The following is a 19,335-nucleotide window of genomic DNA, read 5'->3' as shown; positions in this document are numbered from 1 at the left end:
GCCATTCCAAAGCTAAAAAGCCTGAGTCAAGAGGCTCGGGCAAATCGTGGGGAAAGAAAGAGATTAAGACGCAAGTCTATTTAGAATAAATCACTCACTTTGGGGCGTGCAAGGCTTACTAGAAAAACAGACACCTGAGGAAACAAGGCGTGTGGACCTAAAGGTGGTTAGCTATGCACTGAGACTGTCTCCAGGGAAAACAGTGCGGGAGGGAGGGAGGGAGGGATGCGGGAAGGACGGAAGAAATGCAAGAGGGAGAGAAGGAGGAATTTGTCTCCGGGACACTGTAGGGCAAATGTCCACGCTCCCCTCCCCGTCTGTCTTACTGCCATTTGTTTTCTTCACTTCTTTCCACTACCTGGGCAAAGGAAATTCGAATATGTGAAAGCGTGGGAAAAGCCTGGACCCAGGGGAGGTCGGGGAGAAAGCAAGCCACTTAGGGGCGCGGGGTCAATCCCCAGGCAGGTGGGACGCCCCTGGGGGTCCTGAGGCCTCTTCCCTCCTGCTGAAGGGAGCACCCCTCCTGGCAGGCCTGGACCTGCTCACACCGACGTTTACCTGGACGGAGGGGGAAGGTGGGAGGGGCAGGAAGCGGTTGGTGCGAACGGGAGAGGCGCCTGCGTGGGAGCTGGGCCCCTCGAGACCTGCGCGGCGTGGAAAGCCGCTCGGCGTCGCCCTCCCCCGGAGCGCCCGGGCTCGCAGCTGACGAGACCGGCCCATGGGCCCTGCGCCCGGCCCCCCTGTCACTCACACGCCTTCCAGCCAATGGTGCGGCCTCCTGTCCCCCTCACCCCACCCCTCGAGGGCGAGCTGGGAGGGAGGTCGGCGAGGAGGGTCCGGCCGGAGTTGAAGGATTGAACTTTCCGGCTCAGTCGCGGCGTCTGCCTGGTCCTCAGCAGTGCAGCCCCGGCGCGGAGCAGGGAGCCTCGGCCCGCGCCCGGCGCCCTCGCCCTCGCCCTCGACCCGCAGCCATGGTGCCCGGGGTGCCCGGCGCGGTCCTGACCCTCTGCCTCTGGCTGGCGGCCTCCAGCGGCTGCCTGGCGGCCGGCCCCGGCGCGGCTGCTGCGCGGCGGCTGGACGAGTCGCTGTCTGCCGGGAGCGTCCAGCGCGCTCGCTGCGCCTCCAGGTGCCTGAGCCTGCAGATCACTCGCATCTCCGCCTTCTTCCAGCACTTCCAGGTACGGGGAGGCCCCCGCCCGGGTTCTTTCTGGGGCTGCGGCCGCGGCGTGGGCGCACCGGGGCGCGCGCCTCCCAGCCTGGGCTCGCAAAGTTCTCGGCCAGCGCCGCCGGCTGATCCTGGCTTCCCCTGGGCGTGGATCTTACAGTCGGGGTGCTGGAACTCTCCTTTCCAGCCTCTTCCCGGCTCCTGAAAAGAAAAAGAAGCCCGAGACATCTTGCCCCAACTCCCTCCTTCCCAGCAGGAAACCAAAGGCGATTTCCCTGGGGAGGGAGAGTCGTGGATGCTGGGAGTGGGTGTGTGGATGTGGCGGTTTCCCGGGAATTGGAGTGCGCGAGACTCCGGGCGGGCGGCGACTCCCGCAAAGTCCCAGGCGCTCCGGGGCACTGGGAGGGAGTCTGGGAGGCGCGTCCGGCTGCGCCTGGGGACCTCACCTCGAGCCCCAGCCCCGCAGGTGCCCGCGGGCCGACACTTTGTCTCTTTTGAAAGATGGTTTTCACTCTCTGAGGGCTCAGAGCTCGCTGCCCACCCTTGGAGCCCCAGCCAGGGTACTTGTGCCAAGTCGTGTTCCAGGGTGCGTGTATGCGCGTGTTGGGGGTGCGAGTGGCTGTGCGCGCCTCAATTCGGAACCCCAAAGATTCAAGGTCTTGCCCTGGACTAGCGTAGAGCGTCAGGGAAGAAGTGCCGGGGACAGGGGATTTGGCGGGGCCGTATTCGGATACTCCTCAACGAGTCCCGGGGGAACCGTCCCCCAAACCCCGAACGTAGGTTCTTTCAGCCTGAGGGTGGGGAGTATGTGTGTGTGCGCGCGCGCTTGTGTGGGAGGCTCCGGGAGCCGCGCGCTTGGCTCCAGCGGGTTGCCGGGACTCTGCCCTGTGGCGCGGACCCCCGCGGGACTTGCGCGAGGCTCCGGGTGCGGGTGGGCGCACGAGAGCAGGTTCCGGACTCAGCGCGAGCGAGTGCAGCTGCTGCCTGTACCAGCCCTGTCGAGCGTGCGAGCTCTGAAATCCTCCGCTTATTTTTCTCTTCTCTCATCCTTCTCTCCTTCTTCTTCTCGCCTCTATCCCTAGGTGCCCACCTGTTCCAAGTTCCCAATTTCTCGCTTCAGGGAAACTCTGGAGGGACCAAAAGGAGAAATGGGGGCTGGGGGGAGGGGTTCCCCTGGCTGGGCGGGAACTGGAAGCCAAACCCTTGGCTCTTAAACTGGGCGCCCCTCCTGCCAGAGCTGGGTCAAGGGGTGGGGGGGGGGGTCCCCCTAGAGGCCCTGGGAATTAAGCTGCCAGAGGAGGCCATATTAATAAGGGTGGAATGTGGAAGTGATTCCCCTTACCCTCGGGGATGATCTTGAACCGGCTGGTGAAGCTGGCGCGTTCGCGAGTGTGCAGTTGAGTTTGTTCTAAGTCGTAGAAGCAGCGTCTCGTGGGTGTCAGAGAAATGGGCACGCTCTGTAGTCCTTCTGCGTCTTCAGGGAATGGAAGACCCAGTGCTCACCTCCTGTGGTGAAATTACCCAGACATCCTGGACAGAGCCAGGAGAGGGCCGATCCCCAGGCACCTGGTTTCCAGCCCTCCGAGTCCTACCCTGAAAGTCACTCTCCTAAGATGCCACACTATTGTTTGAAACAACAGAAAACAAAACAAAACGGAGCAGCCTATTCCCAGGGAGAAAGAGTACCTTTTTTTTTTCTTTTTCTTGAATTGTCAGTGCTGTAATTTATTTGTTTTACAGTTTCAGTGGCTAAAGCACCAGCTTAGATGAAGCCAGTTCCCGTGAAAGGCTTTTCTTGTGGTCTCCTTGGCATGATTTCTCTTTGGAAGAAAAACTGCTGACAGAATGCACATTGCTAGACAATCCTGATTACATTTTAATTAGCTGGGGGTGAAATAAGCTGCAAATTACTCAGTTAAGACTTAATAAGTGCTGTGTTTGTAATCAATTGCAAAGCCATTCTGGGAGCCTTAACCCTAACCTGGTAATGCCTATCTGATTTATCTAAATTGCAGGGATTAAGTGTTTTTAAGATCTGAAAAGCCAGCAACACATTCTCCTTATAAAACCCCAAGCTTCCCTGTTCCCCACCGCTTGCCTTCCTTTTTTTTTTTTTTTTTTTTTTTTTTTAATAATTAGAAGGAAGATGGGCCGGGCGCAGTGGCTCATGCCTCTAATCCCTGCACTTTGGGAGGCCAAGGCGGGCAGATCATTTGAGGTCAGGAGTTTGAGACCAGCCTGGCCAACTTGAAATCCCGTCTCTACAAAAAATACAAAAATTAGCCTGGTGTAGTGGTGCATGCTGTAGTCCCAGCTACTCAGGAGGCTGAGGGAGGAGAATCCTTGAACCCGGGAGGCAGCGGTTGCAGTGAGCCGAGATCACACCACTGCACTCCAGCCTGGGTGACAGAGCAAGACTGTCTCAAAAAAAAAAAAAAAAAAAAAAAAAAAGGAAGGAAGGTGGAGCAATCAGTCTGCAGACAACTCATGACTGGGCTACGGGAAGTCTTAAGAAGATTGCTTTCCTACAGGGTCACCCCCGCCCCCAACTCCTGCAAATGAGCCCACCCATAAAGCTGTCTCTGGAGCAGGTGCCTGTTTCCATCTTCTCTTGCACGGTTTCAGGCCATGTTTAAGGATGGGAGAAGCTTGCCTGGCCTCCAGCCTGGATGCCCGCCAGGTATGTGGACTCTCAATTATGAAAGCTGTCAGGCCTTGCCTCAGGAGAGCGCAACCTATGCACTCATGGTGTAGGCAGTGACACAGATTCCCTGGGGCAGTGACCTGCTGTCGTCGGCCTGCAGAGGAAGCTGTCGTCTCATAGTCTGTGCCCCAGTTGTCCCCACTGTCCTCCACTGCCCAGCCCTTCAGCAACAAGACAGAAAAGCAGTGGGTAGATGTGCACACCTGACACCTCCAGGTCTGCAGGCTGTTTCTGCCCCACCTGCACAAAGTGGCTGTCAACCACGCCCAAAAACACAAGGGACTCAGTACTGAGGCATGGGGGTGGGAATGCAGACCAGGGATACCTGAGTAATCCAACACTGCTCTGACCTGGAAAGGAAGAAAGGAAGATGGGATGGAAACCCCATCATTTCACTACTGAATGCTGCCCTTCATTCACGAAAAGAAACAGTGCATGTTAGCACCTCCTGAAATATTAGTATCTGGCTCCAGGATGCTTTGTCCAGGTCATTTGGCATGGAGCTATTTCAGGCTCACAAGTAGAATACATATGTGCGGTTAGCAGAGTGAAGAGGAGCTGTGGGTCTGTGAGGTATGGAACAGGGAAGTGGGCTTTGGGGCTGTGCAGACCTGCTCTACACCCAGGCTCTGTAGCGTCGCGAATGGGTAGCTTGGGTGCATCACATCACCTTCCTGAATGTTAACCCTTCATATGCCCAGTGGGGGAGAGAAGCACCTGCCCTGCAAGATGCAATCAGGATGCAAAACATGTTGGGGTGATGCAGGTGATGGTAATACAGCAGCTAGCACTACCCGGAAGATTACTAAGGAGCAGCCACTCTTCTGGGTATTTTACAAGTACTACTCTTTTAATCCCCACAACACTCCTAGGAGGCAGCTACTAAATTAGGGAAGAACTCAGAGGTCTTGAAAAGTTGGCTCATCACACAGTTCATTGACGATTTAGCCGGGTTAATAGTGAGGATGGCTTCTAGCTTTTGGTTTTGTTTCTATTTTTAAGATTTTGTTGGTTAGCTGGATAATTTACTTCAGGACTGACTACCTAATTTTCAGGCCCTGGTGCAAAATAAAAACGTGGGGCCTCTTAGCAAGAAAAAAAGTGTTTGTTAAAGGAAATAAGATATAAAACGTTTTCCTTTCTTCTGCCACTTGCTTCTGTTAACTTGTCATGGTGTTTTAAATTTCCTATCCATGTTGTTCTCAGTGAAGAAAATTTTAAAGTTTAATTTTAGCATGACGCTAACTCTTCTTCTTTATATTGTGCAATGCCAGCTTTACATGTAAATATCAGAGCACTTAATTCCTGGAGGGAGCCCTGAAATGGCCAGAGGGTCCAACAGGCCAGACTCGGGAATGGTGGAAGGAGGAAGAGAAGGCTCCCCCAAGGCTTTGGGGTGTGCCCAGGGAACACTCATGTCTCACAGGCACCTAGGGCCTTGGGCTCAGACACATGTGCTCAGGCATGATGCTGGCCAGGTCCCCTCTTTTGCCTGCTGCTGCACCCGGGGATTGTACTCTTGCCTGGCACAGGTCCTCTGGAAATTGAGCCAGGTGCCTCCCCTTCATAGGCCAGCTGCTCCTGCCCCCAGCAGATGGGCAGCTCCCAGGTTTATTGCATCCTCCTCAGTGGATGTGCCATTCCAGTGTCTCAGAATCGTGCTGGCCACCCACCAAACACACCATCATGCTACTAGCATGGAATGGGGACAGACACAACCATACCATGGGACACTGTATGACATGCATATGGCCAACCCTGATCTTCCCTACACCCATGCCCGGTCCCTGCAGGGACCATAGTGGGCAGGGATCATGTGATGGGAGGTGGGGAGCAGAAGGCCAGTGGGGCCTGAGGTGCCAGGTGATGGGGGAATGGGCGGTGAGAACCTGTCCTGGAGAGGTGAGGGTGCGGTGGGAGTCAGGATTGGTTCTGAGCTGACATGTCCACTCTCCAGTGAGTACTGCAGTGTGCTATTGACTCTTACATACAAAACTCAAACTCAAAGAATTTCAGCATGGCCATTGCAGAGCATACCCCAAGCCTAGGTCCTCTTGTGAGCATATAGTGGACTGCACTGTTCATACGTCTGTGAAACTGACCTAATTTGCTTTGTTTGTATGTCAAAGATTCAGCCATCTGGGAAAGTTTAAACCTACTTTGGAGTGGCGGTTCCTCATAGGGTCACCTGTAATGTTAAAGGGTACGATGCTGACATATGCTCACTTAGGGAGAAACATCTCTCCTCTTATGTTCTCAACTTCTCTAGAAGATTAAAGAAGAAGGAAAGGAGGGAGGTGGTGCCTGAGATAAGCCCTGTCTCTTTATAGGTGACTCTTGATGCATTTGAGAGTGACTTCATGCCCTATGCTTCATCTTGGACACTCCTGCTCCTCTGACCTCCTCTGGGTCTGCCCATGATGGCACAGGTGTAGCTGAGTCTTAAGCTCTAAACATAATCAGTTCCCTAAGCATGGGCAGGCTTGGGACCTGCCATTGGCAATCTCAGCATTGGCAGGCCTGGGACCTGCTCTTTGTCTGCCTGTGTTTTCTCAATGGAGGCTCAAAACAGTAGGGTTTGAGGAAAAGTAGTAGTCCGTGGGCAAGTGAGGCGGGATGTGTGTGTATGTGTGTCTGTGTCTTTGCCAGATTTCAGAATGCCCAGGGAGAAAGTGGATGGGATCCTGCTGGAAGACTAATAGCAGGTTGCTGGCAGCTTGGCCCTAGGGTTCCAGAATTGTACTGATGTTAAGAGATTCTTCCTTAATGGGACGTTATTCGCCCTATAAAGTACCACCGATAGGCTCCCTTTGGTAGCTGATTAGAGATCAGAGGCTCTTCCTAGCAGTAATTGGAAGCTGTTTGTTTTGGCAAAAAGGAGAATGAAGCTGGTGATGAGATCATTCCACTTAGAGGGCCAGCCTCTCCTCCAAGGCAAAGTAAACAAACAATTAGCGCATCAAAACCCCAGCAGCTACAAATCAGCCCCAGGCTCACAGATTTCAGAGGAATGGATTTTGTGGTGCTCATACCCAGCCTACGATGTGTCCCTTTGCTCTGTGCTGAGTTTTCAGTTATATTGCAGGATGGCCAGGCATTTAGAGAGCCGCTGGGAGAACCACGACTCGATGCAGTTTGGTCTTGGTGTTTCCTGGTCTGAGTTATTGGCTCTCTGGCTGCGTTTCTAACACGTTCTGAATTTGACCCAAAAGAAACCTTATACTATTCATTGCAATTTTTTGTGTTTTTAATATGGTATTTCTCTTTGAACATGATTTAAAACTCTACCTTATTGTGACTGTAATAGAACATTTAAAAAACAATAGAAAATACACTTACTAACTTGTTTATTTCTTTATGCAGTATATCAAATATATATATCTGTATATATATATATCTGTATATATATATCTGTATATATATATATCTGTATATATATATCTGTATATATATATATCTGTATATATATATCTGTATATATATATATCTGTATATATATCTGTATATATATATCTGTATATATATATATCTGTATATATATATCTGTATATATATATCTGTATATATGTATATCTGTATATATATATCTGTATATATATATCTGTATATATATATATATCTGTATATAATATTATTTATCCACATGTGTGTATTTGGACACCTAAATTAAAAAGGTAATATTGTTGGTGCAAGTGTTCCCACTTTTAAAAATGTAATCATAAATTTGGAGGTTATCATATTTATTCAAAATAAATTCACCACCTTTCATGTTCTCACCTACCAGGTATGTTTCAGTGAATGAGTATAAAATGTTGGGGTTAAGGTAGAGAGACTTATGAAAGTGTTAGGGGGTACTGCTTGTATTAAGTCAGAAATGGAGAAGTTCCAATGGATTACTTGGTATTGCTGTCCAGAAACCTGACTCTCATACCATTTTGGGGGGAAGAGAGGTTTGGGACAGCAATTAATGAAGCATATCCATATTATCAAAAGGCATTTTTATTTATGAAATAGGAATAGAAATAACTGAAAATGTCTCTTTGCAGTGCCTTGTGTAAAGTATAGAATAACATAATTTCTGGGCATCATCTAAGCTCACAGAGCCTTAGGGTTCTGAAGTCAGCTACCTTTCAACTTTTCCATTTAACTTACCCTGGCCTCCATATTTTGAAAGCAGGTTGTCTATCAACATATGGCGTTTATTAAGTATGACCTAGTTTTTCCTCTTTACATTAATCAAAGATAGCCATAACTCTTTCAAGCTTTAGATTAGCATTAGGTTGCCCCCATGACCAGAGCTGATTGATAAAATGAATAGTTATGACATTTTAGTTCTCTTTGCACCATCATCTTAGGAAAATGTGTCATTTTGGGGAGTTTTCTGAAATATTTTAAAAGAGGTGATATACACCAATTCCTTCTCCAGTCGATGCAGTTGTTGACCTCTTGCCTCTTACCCCACCATCCCCCGGCTCCTGTATCAGCTGCTAATAGCTTACAGCTGCTTCCTTTTAAGGGAATAACCTTTGGCCGATGGGCACCATCTTGCTTGCAAGGTCATGCATCCTCCTCCCTTGATGTGCGCAGACCATGGCGATTGGCTCTCTGCTCAGGGGATATAGGAGGTCAGCCCCCTGCTGGAATCAGCTCTGTAATGCAATTCATGCCCAAAAGCATCGCATGGGATCAGGCTTATGCAGGGCTCTGGCTGAGAGCCCATCCCCACACAGGTCTTATCTCTGCCTTCTCCTGCTTCCTCTCTTCCCTCTTCTACTGAGAGCTTTTCTCTCCGCCCCAATATTACCTCATGTCCGAGAAACCCCATTTCAACCTCTGCTTCTAGGAAACCCAGTCTAAGACACCTCCCTTCAGAAACACGTGGTTCCATTCAACACTTTTGTTTTTTCTGATCAGACAACTCGGTTCTTATAGAAATGACCTGTTCAAGCTAGTAGGTAGAATAAGTAAAAATATAAGTTAGCTTTTACACTCTCAGCTAAGACTTCATTTACTATCCTTCAAAAAATTGAGAGGGTATACAAAGTTTAAACATCATTTTAAATAAAGAAACAGATTCAGAAGATTTTCTGTTACTTGAATTTAGTTTCTAGCTCCTGATGACTTCAGTAAAAAGATTTCAATTCTTGGACCTAGTAGGTAAGCACATCATGCTCCCTCATTGTTGAGAATTCAATGAAATGTGAAAATATGCACTGTTCAGGCAAGCTTGAAATAGCTGTAGGGTAAGTGGGCAGTAGCTGGAGTGAGAGGACATCATTAACGACAGTACTACATGGCAGGTCTAGGAAGAAGGCAAGGGAGCCCCAATAGTTCAGGTATCAGCCAACATTGGATTTACTCAGCATGCAACTAGTGGAGCTACACCCCAAAAAAGCTACATCCTCCAGGACCTGCAATCCTTTGTATATTTTAAAAATGTAATTTGTGTATGGTTTCAAAGAGGTGAGGGGAGACATTTTCCCTGATGGTAAAGAGGGTTGGATAAAAATAGTTATACTTATTAGCCAATATGTAAAAAATGCCCAGAAAGGAACAAATGTAGCATTTGTAGATTGTTTTCATGTAAATCACTGTCTGCATAGGTGCTGAATCTGTTTCTTTCTTTAAAAAGTACTGATTTATTTGCATTTCCCTGATCACTAGTGATGTTGAGCATGTTTTTCATACGTTTGTTGGCCAGTTGTATATCTTCTTTTGAGAATTGTTTATTTATGTCCTTAGCCTACTTTTTGATGGGATTGCTTGTTTTTTCTTCTTGCTGATTTGTTTGAGTTCCTTGTAGATTCTGGATATTAGTTATTTGTCAGATGTATAGGTTGTGAAGATTTTCTCCCACTTTGTGGGTTGTCTGTTTACTCTGCTGACTGTTCTTTTTGCCGCGCAAAAGCTCTTCAGTTTAATTAAGTCCCACCTATTTATCTTTGTTTTTGTTGTGTTTGGTTTTGGGTATTTGGTCATGAAATCTTTGCCTAAGCCAGTGTCTCAAAGGGTTATTCCAATGTTATCTTCTAGAATTTTTATAGTTTCAGGTCTTAGATTTAAGTCCTTGATCCATCTTGAGTTGATTTTTATATAAATGAGAGACGAGGATCCAGTTTCATTCTCCTACATGTGGCTTGCCAATTATCCCAGCACCGTTTGTTGAATAGGGTGTCCTTTCCACACTTTATGTTTTTGCTTGCTTTGTCGAACCACGATGTGGTACCACCTTACTCCCGCAAGAATGGCCATTATCAAAAAATCAAAAAATAATAGATGTTGACATGGATGCAGTGAAAAGGGAACACTTCTACACCACTGGTGGGAATGTAAACTAGTAAAACAGTGTGGAGGTTCCTTAAAGAACTAAAAGTAGAACTACCATTTGATCCAGCAATCCCACTACTGGATATCTACCCAGAGAAAAATAAGTCATTATATGAAAAAAGATACTTGCACACGCAATTGCAAAAATGTGGAACCAGCCCAAATTCCCATCAATCAATGAGTGGATAAAGAAACTGTGGTGTGTATGTGTGTGTGTGTGTGTGTGTGTGTGTGTGTACACACATAATGGAGTACCACTCAGACATAAAAAGGAATGAACTGATGGTATTCGCAGCAACCTGGATGGGATTGGAGACCATTATTGTAAGTGAAGTAACTCAGGAATGGAAAACCAAACATTGTATGTTCTCACTTGTAAGTGGGAACTAAGCTATGAGGATGCAAAGTCCTAAGAGTGATACAATGGACTTTGGGGACTCCGGGGGAAAGGGTGGGAAGGGGGTGAGTGATAAAAGACTACACACTGGGTTCAGTGTATACTGCTTGGGTGATGGGTGCACCAAAATCTCACAAGTCACCACTAAAGAACTTACTTGTGTAACCAAATACCACCTGCTCCCCAAAAACCTATAGAAATGTATTTTTTTAAAAAGTACTGATTTAATAAGTTGCATTTATTTCAGCTAATATCAGTGGATTGTTACAATTCCAAAGATGAGCTAAAACCTCTGTACATGAGGAACTTAGGGTCTATTCTAGGCTAAGACTTGTTTGTAAACAGACAAGTTCAGCCCAATAGATGGAGTTTTTTGTATGAGATCTCAGAGGAGGGAGGGTGTTTATCTTTTTAGGGAAAGTCTCATAACTGCTAGCTGAGTTATTCCAGCTTGGAACAGCATGTGTATAAATACAGAGTCTTGCAACAGTGTGGTCTGTTGTTGGGGACCATAACCTAAATGGCCATGATATAGCATCAGCCTCCCAGCTAGCAGCCAGACTTTGGGAACTTGTTAGAGAAGGAATAAATAGCCACAAAGCTCAAGTGCTTTGTTCTGCAAGGCAGGTTAAGAGCATGCCCATTGTAACATGATGCCACATTCAAGCCACAACACTTAGGGATGTGTGTCTTGCTGGTTCTTGCTAATCTGGTTGAATTTCAACTCTTAATGCTTTTCAGTTGATCTCTATGGAGATCCTTGGCCACACCTCTAAGAAAGAGCCTAAGAAAGAAGAAGGGAGGAAAAGGAGGCTATCTCTTGGCTTGCGGTTGGACACAGCTTCTGAATTAGTGGAAATTAGAAGCTCTCCGGAATTCCTGAGCCACAGGACAGAAGGCATTTAGCATTGCATTTTACAGTGTTTTGGAGCTGACACAGTTGTTTCACATAAAATATCTATTTGACCATCACAACTACTCTGTGAGGTCAGGAATGTTATTTTTCTTTACAGATAAGAAAACTGAAGGCCTGAAAATGAGATAACCAAGGATCCATAGCAGAAACTCAAGCCCTCATTGTCACATTCCTAGATATTTGTACTGAATGACTCCACTTCTTAGTATGTTAACAGCGAGAGAAGACAGAGGGGAAACAGCACCTATATTATGATCCAGAGACACTCAGTTGTAAGGGAACTAGGACGGGATTTCTCACTGGCTTCTGGAGGCAGTTTTGCACCACAGTTGCACAGATGAGGACAATTGAAAGGTTGCTGGTGTGATAGAAAATGGCTTGAAAAATATCAGTCCATCAACACCATCCCGACTGGTGGTGCACGTACCCACCCAATTCATTCTTCTAACCAATAAGAATCTGCAAAACACAACCGTCTTTCAGGTATCTTAGATTGTGAGGCCCCAGCATATGTGAGATGTGCTTCTTGCCTCCAAAACAATTACTTTCTTTACAAATTTTTTGTTTGTTGTTTACACAAGGTCTCCCTCTGTCACCTAGACTAGAGTGTAGTGCCATGATCATATCTCACTGTAGCTTTGCACTCCTAGGCTCAAGAAATCCTCCCTCAACCTCCTGAGTAACTGGGACTACAGGTGTGTTACACCCCCGTACCTGGCTACTTTTTTTTTAAGTTTTTTGTTTTTGTTTTTGTTTTTCCCCAGAGATGGGGTCTTGCTATGTTGATCAGGCTAGTTTCAAACTCCTGGCCTCCAGTGATTCTGTTGCATCAGCCTCCCAAAGTACTGAGATCACAGGTGTGAGCCACCATACCTGGCCAAGAGAATTATTTTCTACTGGAGAGAAGGACAAACATTTAATAAAATTGCTGCAAGTTGTTGACGTGAAGAAAGAAACTATTAAAACCATGAATCGTCTTTTAAATCCTTACATATAGTAATTTAACTCATGATCATGGATATTGATATTTTTCAGATGAAGAATGTCTTTTTTTGTTTTTGTCAATTGCTTTTTTTTAGGCCTATCCAATTTTCCATGCATGTAATGAAATAGCAGAGTTTTATCGAGATTCTTGGGGAAGCGTTCCAAGCAGCTGGAGTCCTCGACATCACAGGGGATGTTTGCTGCCTGCAACAAAAGTTGCGGTGTCCTCATTCTTGGCTGTGTTGCTGTTGTGTATGTTGGTGGGACATGTGTGGAGTCATTGTGCATGGTAATTGTAGCTTGCATGTATGTGACAGCCATTTCCACGAGCTCAGTGTGCCTGACATGCTTGCTTCATTGCCTTTTGTTTGGGTTTTGGTTATGTGTGTGTGTGTTTACACTTTATAATTCTTTCCGGCATCTCTGCAAAATATAAAAGTTAGGCAATGAGGAAATCTTTCAAAAAAAGAATTTTGAAAATTCTCAAGGCTGCACATGAGAACAAGATGGTAAAGATGTGAAGTTTTGGGGTTCTTTAATCCCCGAAGCTTTAAAACCTCTCCTCAGGGGAGTCTGAGAAACAATACCCATCAAAAGGCTTGAAAAGAATCCGGCAACTAATCAAGGCTCTTAATTCACATTCTGTTTACCCTTTTGTTTTGAATTATAACTTTTTTATTTTCATAAGGTTTTTTTTTTGCTTTTCAAGTTGTTAATACTTCAGAAAATATTTTCTTAGTGAGCTCAAAAATATATAATTTTGTGTTTCACATTACCCTGATTCTTATAAAGATAACGCAGATATGTTGTTACCATTTAAAAAGTCACATAATGGGCCAGGTGCGGTGGCTCTCGCTTGTAATCCCAGCATTTTGGGAGGCCAAGGTGGGCAGATCGCCTGAGTTTAGGAGTTTGAGACCAGCCTGGCCAACATGGCAAAACCCCATCTCTACTAAAAATACAAAAATTAGCCAGGCATGGTGGTGCGCACCTGTAGTCCCAGCTACTAGGGAGGCTGAGGCAGAAGAATCCCTGGAACTTGGGAGGTGGAGGTTGCAGTAAGCCGAGATTGTGCCACTGTACTCCAGCCTGGGTGACAAAGAACCTGTTGAGTTCTTTGAAGGGTTCATTCAAGGAAAGTTGATTAACTCTTGTTTAAATCTCTAATAGGGCATTATTGCAAGAGACAGTCCATCTAGACTTACACAAATATCCCAGTCCTTGTCTTTAAATGCCTACACTGTTGGAAGTAATGACACTCTTCTGAAATGTAGACTCCTTGTTATACTGTGTATACCAGAAAGAAAGTTGACCAAAACCTGTAAGCCTAAAATACGGGAGAGAGATTTTTAACAGAATACACAGCTTATATTGACATGTGTCACCCCATCAACTGGACAGGTCCAGAGTGTTGTTATAACAAATCCAGTATGCCAAGGAGGATTGCATTTCAGGGTCATTAGTTTGCTTTCCAACTGATAGGACTCCCGCAGAATGCAAATTGCAAGATCCTTTACAATCATAACGAATAGTGATAATAGAATCATCCCCACAATTGGAAGTATACGAATATTTTCTGAGAACTCTGCACCAACAATTTCTGATGCAGCGCTGAGATTTCCACTTTTTCTTCTTCATGGCCAGATACTTTTGTCTCTGCCAACTGCTGTTTTATCCCTCGCTTGATGGTCATTTCTGCCCAGTGGACAGAGTTCTGCTCACCTAGAGGCGTAATTGTGCCTAAAACAAGGAGCAGAGAACCACGTAGCTGTAAGGAGATGCTATGGCAACCAGACATCAGAGGTTACCTATTCCTGCCCAACAGTCCTGCCATATGAATGACCCACATAAAGGCAGAATTACAAACCACACCACAGCATTGGCGCCTGGCCCCTAGAGTTGAAACCAATCCTGTTGATGCCATGAATGCCAAGTTCATGCAGAAGTTACTGACTCCTTTCAGATAGAATGAGAAGAAAATGGGAGGCCAGTTGTTGTGAACATGTTTTGACAACTGTGCTTCTTTTAAATTTCATCTGTGGCAAGAAGGGACAAAGACGTCACCTAGGGTGGTGTCCACCATTAATTGTTTGAAGGTGGGCACTTTGTTCCCCATTTTCTTTTCCATGTTTTGGGCTACTAAAGCTATTTGGGGCCAGGCATGGTAGCTCACGCCTGTATTCCCAGTGCTTTGGGAGGCTGAGGTGGGAGAATCGCTTGAGTCCAGGAGTTCAAGGCTGCAATGAGCTCCAGTGGCACCACTGCACTCCAGTTGGGTGACAAGAGTGAGACTGTGTCCTCAAAACAGAAAAGTCATTTGGAACTAGAACTTTGCCTTTAAAATCTAAAATATGTGTCCCATATATCCTTGATGGATAGTGCCATCATATCTTTTGCTTAATCATTTATTTTTTAAATTTTGAATTTTTATTTATTTTATTTATTTACGTTTTGAGACAGGGTCTCACTCTGTCACCCAGGCTGGAGTGCAGTGGTGCAATCATGGCTCACTGCAGCCTCAAACTCCCTGGCTCAAGGATCCCTCCACCTCAGCCTTTCAAGTAGCTGGTATACAGGCCTGTACCACCACGCTTGGCTAATTTTTTAACAGTTTGTAGAGACAAGTTCTCACTATATTGCCTAGGCTTGAGTTTTTATTTTTTGAAAACAGAGACAGGGTCTCACTATGTTGCCCAGGCTGGTCTTGAACTTCTGGCCACAAGAGATCCTCCCATCTGGGCTTCCCAAAGTGCTGGGATTACAGGTGTGAGCCACTGTGCCAGGTCAGCCCATCATATCTTTGAGTAGAAATGCATTGTCTCTCTCTTCTCGCTCTCTCCTGATCTCTCTTTTCTTTCCCCCTCTTCCCTCTCCCTTTCTATTTTGACATTTGGCTGTACCATTTTGAAAGCAGTACAGCCAAACCTAGTGGTCATCATTCCAGAAATGGCCTACATCTGGGAAGTATTTTTTTTTTTCCCATTGGGCCAGAATTTAAAAGAAAGTAGAGAACATCTTTTGGTTGTTTTTGTTGTTTCCACATTTTTGTATCCGGAGTTATGAGCTAATGCCTTCACAGCTGCAAAGAAATTTTTTAAAAAAAATCTGGATAGAATATATTCTCTGGTTATGTATCACAATCACCAGAAAAACAAATATAGACTAGTCGACCATCTGTAATTTTCATTTTTCTATTATCCAGGAGCCATAGATTTTTGCAATGTTTTAAACCTGTTTTTAATAGGGCAAGATTTGCATACTCTAGTTCACTTTATTACTCCACAATTTTGAAAAGAAGATGGAGGTTGCTTTTTTACATAACCTCATGAAATTAGGGCTAGAATTTAATTTCCATATATTCGTCTGTGTGTATATTATGCATGCGTTTCTAGTTCAGGGTTTGTCAACTATGACACTGTGGACGTTTTGGAGCAGATTCTTCTTTGTTGAGTGGAGGGGCTGTCTGGTGCATTTTAATGGTTCCACAGCATCCCTGGCCTCTCCCTACTCAATGCCAGTACCATGCCTCCCACCTTCAGTCATGACAAAACTGATGTCTCCAAACATAGCAGTATGTGAATATTTGTATCGGGATATCCATATCTATTCCATCTGTCTCTGTCTCTGGGTCTCTATCTCTGTGTCTGTCTCTATCTGTATATGTTTTGCTTCCACTCTATGGCAAACATCCTGGCAGTCATGACATGGCTTAGCTTCTTGTTCTCAGGAAACACTAAGGGTCTGTGCTGTGTCAGGCTCTTTGCTAGGCGCTGGTGTTGCCAAGATGACCAAGGCACGTGCCTTCATTCCCAAAGGACTGTGTCAGGGAACTGGGGTGCACAGACACAAATGAGGTGTCAGGTGTCACTAGCTCAGAGATGGGAGGCCACAAGAGGAGGGGTTACAGGGTGATCCAGAGTGCACTGTGGATCCAGATCGCTGGTGCCCTACCCTGGTTCTGTCCCTTCCTATGCTTACATCTCTGCTGTAAGTAATTCTGGAATCAAAACTGATGCTGTGAACTCTCTCGCTTATGAGGAGACATGGACATCCCCATTCACAGTCAGAGGAGAAGGTTTGGGCCCTGAGATGACCACAAAAGGACAGGGTTAGCCTGACAAGTTTTCATCTTCTGAATAAATGAGACCTTGTAGCATTCTGTTAAGTTTCTCTCTCCTAAACGAAAACCTCACTTTCCTTGCGTCTTTGGCAACCCTGATTGTGAAGATGTGTCGTGGCATGTGAGCATGATCATATAAGTAGATGGATGGTTTTATCTATGAGCAGACTCATGCAAACTTAGTTATGCTGCATCTTCTTCTTTAAATTCACATTATCATTATTTCTGTTGGTGAGCTGGTCCTAAGGTCTTCTGTTTTTGGGACTTCTTTGCAAGTAAACTTCTTTTCCTTTCTGAAGACTGTTGTCTCTGCCCTCTCTCTCAGACCGTCGACTGCCCTTTGCCTCCATTTTGACGGTGGTGCTGCTTCATTGAGTTTTCTGGGATGCCATGCATTTTACTCAGAACAGAGCCTCTTACTTGGCTCTACAGACGCGCTGGCTGTCATCAGGTTGAGTTAGGCCCAGAGGGAGTGCCTGGTGCTGATGATCCTGGGATTCAAAAATAGTGTGGTGCATGCCTGTAGCCCCAGCCGCTTGAGAGACTGAGGAGGGACGATCACAGCCTAGGAGTTCTAGTCTAGCCTGGGCAACACGGTGAGACCCTATCGCTAAAATAAAATGAATAGTATGTAACCCTGGATCCCCAGTGCTCTACAGTCTGGTCTGAGAGACCCCTCCACTTCCAAAAGAGATTTAAAAACTTAATTTTTTAATTTAAGAGACTCTTTCCAGTTTGTTTTGAAGTATCTAGTTCAATCAGTAGAGCATGACATGCAGATCTCTCGTGTGTGCTTTTGTTACTTAAAGATTTCCCATTCTGGGTGGCCATGGTGGGCCTGTCATCCCAGTGCTTTGGGAGGCTGAGATGGGAGGATCACTTGAGTTCGGGAATTTGAGACCAGCCTGGGCATCAGAGTGAGACCCCATCTCTACCAAAAAAAAAAAAAAGAAAAAGAAAAAATTAGCCAGGCTTGGTGGTGCATACCTCTTGTCCTTGCTACTTGGGAGTCTGAGGCAGAAGGATTGCTTGAGCCCAGGATGTTGAGGCTACAGTGAGCTATGATTGAGCCACTGCACTCCAGCCTAGGTGACAGAGAGACCCTGTCTCTGAAAAAAGAGAAATATTTCACCTTTCCGTATGATGCATAGGATAAGATTAAGTAGATTTTTAAATTGAAATTTGAAATCCTGGATAAATATTGTGTAAGGAAAAAAAGTCATTTAATTCCAAGTCATCTATTCTACTGGGAAAACATACCTGACTTTTCAGACATCCTTCTAATTCTGCAATGAACACATTTTTCTTGGAATGAGTTTTATTTTTTTGCAAAGCAGTTTTTTCTTGGGGTTATTGCTCTTTGCGCTTGCATCACATTTAATTAATCATGTTTTCTCAAGTGATCCCTCATTAAAACACACTGTCTTTTGAAGTTTATATTAAAATAACCCAGAATCATGATGAATGGGTTAGAATATAAGTCAGGGCATAATAGACTATGAGGTACTCTATTTTAGTTTGATGAATTATTCTGCACTCTTTAATGAATAACATAAATTAGCATAATGAAAAAGCATATATCACAAGAAAACAATGTGACAAAAATCTGACACTTAGTAAAGTCAATTAGAAGGGGAAAACATGTATTTTTAGTCATTTTTTTTCCCCTTCTTGGGTGTTCCCTACTACAAATGAAGCTCAACTACTAAGTCCTGCATCTCCTAGTTTACATGTGTATAGCAAGATGGGGGTTTTGCTTTACCATTAAAACAACAACTTCTAGGACTTACCAGGCATATTCCAAAATGTGTTGCTAAAATATTCAGTAGGGAAGCACATGGAAATAATAGTTTTTATCTCTGGGGCACGGTACGTTTTTTCAATTAGATTTTTTTTTAATGGTTATAGTGATAATAGCAATAGTTCCCAGCTCATGTTATCCGGAAGCATATCCTCTCCACCTACTCTTAATGCATGTGAGTAATTAGCTTGATAACTTAACATTAATCCTTAACCTCTGCTGGTCAACATGCCAGATTCCAGGCAGTAATGTGCCTTGTGGGAATGACTTGTTATGTATAACATATTGCACCTGTCAAGCTTTGCAGCTGCCAAGCATCTATTTTGAAAAATAATAGGGTGATTTGAGAGTGCCTTTAAAGTCTGCTTTGTGCTTTTGCCACACAGTCATCCCCAGCAAGAAATTACATGTTTCTACAGTTGTTCTGTATGAAAATGGCCAGAGACTGAGATGAGGCCAAGACAGCAGAGGCCAGAGAGGTCTAGACCGCCCTGAATGTTGTTACCTTGAGTCTTGGTCTTGGAGAAAAAGAAACCAGCACATGCAAAGATCAACTTACTGCTTTACAAAGAGGGTTGTTCTTTCTCAATGACAAGAATCCAATAAGATACCTGTAAGAGCTGAATAAGGGTCTCAGTCATTTATTTGGGACACTTGGAAGGGAGAGAAGAGAGACATTTGGGCCGGACACGGTGGCTCATGCCTGTAATCCCAGCACTTTGGGAGGCCGAGGCAGGTGGATCACCTGAGGTCAGGAGTTCAAGACCAGCCTGGCCAATCTGGTGAAACCCCGTCTCTACTAAAAATACAAAAATTAGCCAGGCGTGGTGGTGGGCGCCTGTAATCCCAGCTCCTTGGGAGGCTGAGGCAGGAGAATCACTTGAACCCGGGAGGCGGAGGTTGCAGTGAGCTGAGATCGCG

At 45.4% G+C, this 19,335-nt stretch overlaps 1 protein-coding gene across 2 annotated transcripts in view, besides 4 other annotated features; it reads left to right on the top strand.

The window, feature by feature from the left end:
* The window catches only part of ANOS1 (anosmin 1), a 203,264-nt gene continuing 184,799 nt past the window's right edge, over positions 871–19,335 (top strand). For both annotated transcript variants that reach the window (NM_000216.4, NM_001440775.1), the window contains exon 1: positions 871–1,178. In NM_000216.4, coding sequence (NP_000207.2) covers positions 972–1,178 — 207 coding nt within the window. In that variant the 5' untranslated portion in view covers positions 871–971. The remainder of the gene's footprint in view (positions 1,179–19,335) is intronic.
* Positions 3,965–4,465: an enhancer, noted in NCBI's record as "H3K4me1 hESC enhancer chrX:8696584-8697084 (GRCh37/hg19 assembly coordinates)". NCBI's record gives its function as "activates a minimal SCP1, AML or CMV promoter by ChIP-STARR-seq in naive H9 embryonic stem cells {active_cell/tissue: H9 hESC(naive)}" and the evidence as "EXISTENCE:reporter gene assay evidence [ECO:0000049][PMID:30033119]".
* Positions 6,015–7,007: an enhancer, noted in NCBI's record as "NANOG-H3K27ac-H3K4me1 hESC enhancer chrX:8694042-8695034 (GRCh37/hg19 assembly coordinates)". NCBI's record gives its function as "activates a minimal SCP1, AML or CMV promoter by ChIP-STARR-seq in naive H9 embryonic stem cells {active_cell/tissue: H9 hESC(naive)}" and the evidence as "EXISTENCE:reporter gene assay evidence [ECO:0000049][PMID:30033119]".
* Positions 6,686–6,980: a silencer, noted in NCBI's record as "tiled region #1436; K562 Repressive non-DNase unmatched - State 24:Quies". NCBI's record gives its function as "represses a minimal TATA promoter and a strong SV40 promoter by Sharpr-MPRA in K562 cells {active_cell/tissue: K562}" and the evidence as "EXISTENCE:reporter gene assay evidence [ECO:0000049][PMID:27701403]".
* Positions 10,981–11,528: an enhancer, noted in NCBI's record as "OCT4-NANOG hESC enhancer chrX:8689521-8690068 (GRCh37/hg19 assembly coordinates)". NCBI's record gives its function as "activates a minimal SCP1, AML or CMV promoter by ChIP-STARR-seq in naive H9 embryonic stem cells {active_cell/tissue: H9 hESC(naive)}" and the evidence as "EXISTENCE:reporter gene assay evidence [ECO:0000049][PMID:30033119]".

Source organism: Homo sapiens, chromosome X (genome assembly GCF_000001405.40).
Source record: "Homo sapiens chromosome X, GRCh38.p14 Primary Assembly".
NCBI classification, from domain to species: Eukaryota; Metazoa; Chordata; class Mammalia; order Primates; family Hominidae; genus Homo; species Homo sapiens.
Note: the sequence above shows the minus strand (reverse complement) of the source record. Positions and strands in the feature narration are given on the sequence as shown.